At 38.1% G+C, this 6,313-nt stretch overlaps 1 protein-coding gene across 23 annotated transcripts in view; it reads left to right on the forward strand.

Annotated features, from left to right (window-relative positions):
• Window positions 1–4,959, forward strand: part of KCNJ16 (potassium inwardly rectifying channel subfamily J member 16) — a 60,384-nt gene extending 55,425 nt beyond the window's left edge. For 19 of the 23 annotated variants that reach the window (XM_017024609.2, XM_047435953.1, XM_047435952.1 and 16 more), the window contains 2 exons: window positions 230–326; window positions 1,346–4,959. In XM_017024609.2, the coding sequence (XP_016880098.1) occupies window positions 315–326; window positions 1,346–2,695 (1,362 nt within the window). In that variant the 5' untranslated portion in view covers window positions 230–314 and the 3' untranslated portion in view covers window positions 2,696–4,959. Of the gene's footprint in view, window positions 1–229; window positions 327–703; window positions 832–1,345 lie in introns of all 23 variants that reach the window. The other 4 variants (NM_001270422.2, XM_011524781.3, NM_001291625.1 and 1 more) reach the window with 1 other exon arrangement.
• Window positions 4,960–6,313: the final 1,354 nt, after the last annotated feature.

Genomic DNA, 6,313 nt, shown 5'->3' on the forward strand with positions numbered 1-6,313 from the left:
ATATTTAGTGATGAATTTCCCTGGTTAGTTCCAAGGGGTCTTTATGTCAGGAATAGTATTTATTCATACTGCATTTTCTATGTAATAGAGAGGCAGGATTCCCTAAAGTCCCCCGTTATAATCCCTTCATCCCATCTAGCACAGGTAGACTGTGAAAAACACATATTCTAATAGTTACTAAGCTGTTAAAATTGGCTACAATACTTTTATTTTTGTTTGTTTTGCACAGGAGTAACTCAAGATGATTTTGATGTTGCAGTTTTAAATTTCACTTTGACTTGAGCTGGGAAATCCTTTGGCCTATTATACCATGGATGCTAAAAATGGTAAGAGCTGCATGTTCTGCCTTGATGTTTTCAAGACTGAATTTGGAGGGAGAAAAATTATTTTGCCTAAGGATGTCCGTGAAAGTATCAGGAAAACACTGAAAAGCCGGAGAGAAGGGTTCAATTGTAGCGTGCTCCCTTTAAGAGGGAAACGAGATTAGCAACTTTGGCAAATTTTTGGGACTCTATTCAGAGGGAAAGAGAAGAGCTGCCAGTGTCAAAAAAAAAAAAAAAGAAAGAAAGAAAAGAAAAAAAAAAGGATGAATGTTATGAGACAAAGACAGAGGCAATTTTACACCTTTCTGAAAGCTTACCTGGGAGTAGTTTTAGGTCCACTGAGGTTAAGAAAGATGCATTTTTTTTTCTTTTCTTTCAAGACTAAAGGTGGAGTTAGGGGGAAATGAGTTTAATGTGAAGTAGTACTCCTGTCAGTTCTGTTTGTCCTGGGAAGTATACAAGGAAGAAAAGCCTCCGTGGAAGAGAGAGCAAGCACCAGGTGCTGAAGGTGAGGGATTACCTATTACACTAACAATTATGAAAGTTACATTATGATATGAAAGTAGAAACTCTTTATTGCATCCTTCTTTTAAGGAAAAACCTGATTTAAACAGTTAGGAAGCTTATGACTGCTAGACACATATCTGAATTGAATTTTGCCTTTTCATATTAGCAATTACTTTGTTTTCTAAATGCCCTCATGCAAGAATAGTTTACAAAAATAAAGCAGATTTTTTTTTATATCAGGTCAGAAAAGTTAGTGAGGCATCATTTGGGATAATCACAGTGTTTACCCAAGCCTTATTCATATATAAAAATGTTATTTTCTCTAATTGCATATTTTGCCTCTATAATGACTGGTTAAATTCTAAACTGAAATGAGTAATCAATACTGTGCACCTAATGTTCAGATGAAGTCGTAGCTATTTTAGATGGTATGACACTGCTCCAAATTTGGCAAATTGCTATAAAGATGGACATTGAAAGCTAAAAAGTGTGTTTTTGTTGTTGTTGTTTTTTAGGTTCTAACTGAAAACCCAAACCAAGAAATAGCAACAAGTCTAGAATTCTTACTACTACAAAACTCACCTGGATCCCTAAGGGCACAGCAAAGAATGAGCTATTACGGCAGCAGCTATCATATTATCAATGCGGACGCAAAATACCCAGGCTACCCGCCAGAGCACATTATAGCTGAGAAGAGAAGAGCAAGAAGACGATTACTTCACAAAGATGGCAGCTGTAATGTCTACTTCAAGCACATTTTTGGAGAATGGGGAAGCTATGTGGTTGACATCTTCACCACTCTTGTGGACACCAAGTGGCGCCATATGTTTGTGATATTTTCTTTATCTTATATTCTCTCGTGGTTGATATTTGGCTCTGTCTTTTGGCTCATAGCCTTTCATCATGGCGATCTATTAAATGATCCAGACATCACACCTTGTGTTGACAACGTCCATTCTTTCACAGGGGCCTTTTTGTTCTCCCTAGAGACCCAAACCACCATAGGATATGGTTATCGCTGTGTTACTGAAGAATGTTCTGTGGCCGTGCTCATGGTGATCCTCCAGTCCATCTTAAGTTGCATCATAAATACCTTTATCATTGGAGCTGCCTTGGCCAAAATGGCAACTGCTCGAAAGAGAGCCCAAACCATTCGTTTCAGCTACTTTGCACTTATAGGTATGAGAGATGGGAAGCTTTGCCTCATGTGGCGCATTGGTGATTTTCGGCCAAACCACGTGGTAGAAGGAACAGTTAGAGCCCAACTTCTCCGCTATACAGAAGACAGTGAAGGGAGGATGACGATGGCATTTAAAGACCTCAAATTAGTCAACGACCAAATCATCCTGGTCACCCCGGTAACTATTGTCCATGAAATTGACCATGAGAGCCCTCTGTATGCCCTTGACCGCAAAGCAGTAGCCAAAGATAACTTTGAGATTTTGGTGACATTTATCTATACTGGTGATTCCACTGGAACATCTCACCAATCTAGAAGCTCCTATGTTCCCCGAGAAATTCTCTGGGGCCATAGGTTTAATGATGTCTTGGAAGTTAAGAGGAAGTATTACAAAGTGAACTGCTTACAGTTTGAAGGAAGTGTGGAAGTATATGCCCCCTTTTGCAGTGCCAAGCAATTGGACTGGAAAGACCAGCAGCTCCACATAGAAAAAGCACCACCAGTTCGAGAATCCTGCACGTCGGACACCAAGGCGAGACGAAGGTCATTTAGTGCAGTTGCCATTGTCAGCAGCTGTGAAAACCCTGAGGAGACCACCACTTCCGCCACACATGAATATAGGGAAACACCTTATCAGAAAGCTCTCCTGACTTTAAACAGAATCTCTGTAGAATCCCAAATGTAGTCCTAAATTGCAATTATGAGGGCTACCACTGAATCATTTTATCTTTCAGCCAATCAAGTCGTTGTAAACGTGGCTTTTTTGAAAGTGTTATGGCTATGTTTTATGATGATGCTGGGTAAGTAGAGTAAGTTAAACTTGGTAAAAGATAATCTAAAAATTCCATAGTTCTCAGTTATTAAAATTTTTCTTGTTCGCCAATTTTGTATTAAGAATGCTATTAAGCCTAATTGATTAAAATTTATCTTTTTTATTATCTTACATGCTTGTATCTTCAGTTGGAGGTGTAGTATTCAAAAACGGGGAATGAAGGCAGGAAGGAGGCTGGAATAAATAAAAATAAAAATAGACAAGTAAGACAGCATAAATAATACATTTTTAAACATGTCAACATTGATAATACAATGAAGATTTACCATAAAAAGTATCATATCTAACCAAGATATGCAAAAGATGCATTCAGTAAGCTGTAACGTTGAGAAATGTAACTGTGAAATCAGCTCACCAGTTCAAGTCACTAGGTTTGCCACTTGGACCGTCTTGGTTTCAGCGAGCATAGCGAGTGGCTGTAAGAAATTGTCCATGCCACCAATTCCACTGCTACTTGCCCAGGTAGTGATCAGTGAGAGTTAGAAGCAATTTTTTCTCTAACCGATGAGGCAGAAGAAAAGTTAACAGTATTTAAAGCAGCATTTCTCTCTTAACGTTCCTGGGAGACTCCAACAAATGGAGACCAGAAACAAGGCAACCACGACCTTGCTAGGTTCTCTGAGGAGGGGACTTTCTATGTTCACGTCCCACCTTCTTCGAGGACATGACCAAGGGACAGGATCATACAGATGAGGTGAGGGGATGGTTAGCAGCGATAAACATTCTCAGACCCTTGGAGAGAAACCGTTGCTAGCTTGCTGGTCCCGAAAGATTGCAACTTTGGCTGCTACAGAAAGGATAGAACCTTTTTGGGGGGAGGGTGGGGAGGGAGATATTTATTTGTGCCCAGAAGCAGTTATGTATGCTTCTTGTCTTGGTTACTGTACAAGATACAAATGACTCGAGTTGTGGATTGCAAGAAACTCTTTTATTAAACTTGGAACAACCATTTAAATGAAGGATTTTGTGAGATAGAATTCAATTAAAGCGATTTGAATGCACAGTAAGTGGATAATCTGAGTACAATGAAATTTCTTAAGTTTTAGAACATGAGATAAAGTTGTATACTCTACTTTCATGTTAAAATGTTAATCATGATTACTTTAAGCCCACATCCACTGAGTAAAGAGTCACTTTAAACTTTATAAATCAAAGAGATATTAGGAACATTCAGAATTATTTGTGTTTTGTTTTTGTTTTACATTGTTGCTGCACTGGCAATAAGTATGTGGCACTGTTTTTATTTGTTTATGTTATTTAAATACACACCCAGACACACACACACACAGTTTTTGCTTTTTCTGGAAAATCTTTCTTTCTCTTCTCTCTCCATGAAAATTAAAACACACAAGTGAATGAAGTAATTACATAGTCCAAGATTAGAAATACAAGTAAAATATATAGGTATAGGTAGATAGAGTGCCTTTCTGTTTCTTTTCTTTTCTTTTTTCTTTTTTTGTTCTTCCTTCCTTTCTTCCCTCCTCCCCCTCATCCTTCCCTTTCTCCTTCTTTTCCCTTTTTTTTTTTTTTTTGACCTGGGAGTAATAAAGTTACTTTTTAAATGCACGTATGCAATCTTTTATTCCTCTTGTTTTATGGATAAGAGATTTGTTCAGGTCAAAAGTTGCAAAACTGTTCTGAAGCTTAATATTAGAGACCCAAGTAAGATTGTTTTTAGTCTTGCTTGAGGAATGCACACTCCATTTAAAAAATTGTGCGCTCTGTAGATTTGGATTTTACAGCAGCAATTACTTGGCTAAATTAGAGTACTGCAATCTTGTAAGTAGAAAACAGCCACCATGACAATAAACAAAAACACTTAAAAATATTTTTAGCTTGTTTTACCTACATCTAGTTTCATTTCATCTTGCTTTGCTTTGTTGACTCTGCTACCGCTGATGTTTGCCTTGTCAATATCAGAATAGGGGCATCAGTGTCCCGTGAAATACATTTTGTTGTGCTATGAGCCTCTGTAATCAAATGCTTGTACTCAGAAGAGAGTGTAAAATCAGCATTTCTATGTAACATATATCTCTAATTATCTGTGTAATTTTATAACATACTTTGACAACCCCAGTGAGTTACTTAATAATAAAGATCTTAAAATAATGCAAAAACTGTGTGCATATACCTATATTTTCAGTGGTATAAGTTCTCTTTGCTGATGTGGTCAGAATTGGGTACAGTGCACCAAAAATAAGAATGCTGCTTCATAGAAAGAGAACATAGGCAGCATTGTAAAGCATTTTTATGGGTTTTTTAACAGCTTGTACAACAGGTATATCTGAAGTAAAAATTAGTTGCTTCTGTAAGTATCACAAGCAGGTTCTATGTAAAATGGCAATTCTAGTTTCAAATGCCCTGCCAATAACGAGAAGTTGGTTGAATATTTTTTCTTATGCCATCCACTTTTTCCCCCAAAATGAAATTATTCAATGAAGTTAAATAGATTTAAAATGAATTGTGGCATCAAGGTATTGCTCTACCATGTGCTATAGTTTCTGAAGGGGGCCCTGGAGAAGTGAGTAAGACTAAGGAGAGAGAAGAAAATATTATTTTCATGTGCCACCAGATTAGTGAGTATTATCAAGTGATTGATGCATGGATTTAATCCCCACAATAACATAGTAAGGTGGATTTTTTAAATTTCCATTTCATCGACTCTCCCATCATCTTCTTTTCCCTAACAAATTCCTAATTGGAAAACAATGTGTTCGGGTTTATAAAAAAAAAAAATACAGCTGTATTTCCAGTCCCGATGCAGGTTGCTGGAGGGTAGGGTTAACTGGCATAGTTCTGGCACATAAGATGTTAGCAGGAATCTATGGGTGCGGCTTTTATGAAAGCTTTTAAGCTGACTTGGCTGGCTCATGCCCTGTTCCTCTCCCTGCTCACCTTTCTCTCCATCTGGACCTCTAACTTGGTAGCTTATGCTCTTGAAGCCACCTTGTAAGAATGCAAATCAAGGACACCCCCTACAAGGGAAAATAGAAAGGTAAGAAAGACTGCAGCCCTAGATTGCACATCTCCAGACGTCTTTTTCATAAGTGAAAATAAATATGATTTCTAATTGACACAGCAATATATCTAAGGGAAATTATCCAGGAAACAAGCCTGGTTTAAAAAAAAAAAAAACGATGCACAGCTTAGGTCCAACTTGTACTTGTCCATGACAGTTGATGGAGTTGATCACTGTGGAAACAGCTAGCTTTCTTTCTTGCTTTTTTCTTTCTTTCTTTCTTTTTTTTTTTTTTTTGAGACAGTCTTGCTCTGTTGCCCAGGCTAGAGTGCAGTGTCATGATCTCAGCTCACTGCAACCTCTGCCTCCTAGGTTCAAGCCATTGTCCTGCCTCAGCCTCCCCAGTAGCTGGGATTACAGGCCTGCACCACACCCAGCTAATTTTTGTATTTTTAGTAGAGACAGCGTTTCACCATGTTGGCCAGGCTGGTCTCGAACTCCTGACCTCATAC

Source organism: Homo sapiens, chromosome 17 (assembly GCF_000001405.40).
Source record: "Homo sapiens chromosome 17, GRCh38.p14 Primary Assembly".
Classification (NCBI taxonomy): domain Eukaryota; kingdom Metazoa; phylum Chordata; class Mammalia; order Primates; family Hominidae; genus Homo; species Homo sapiens.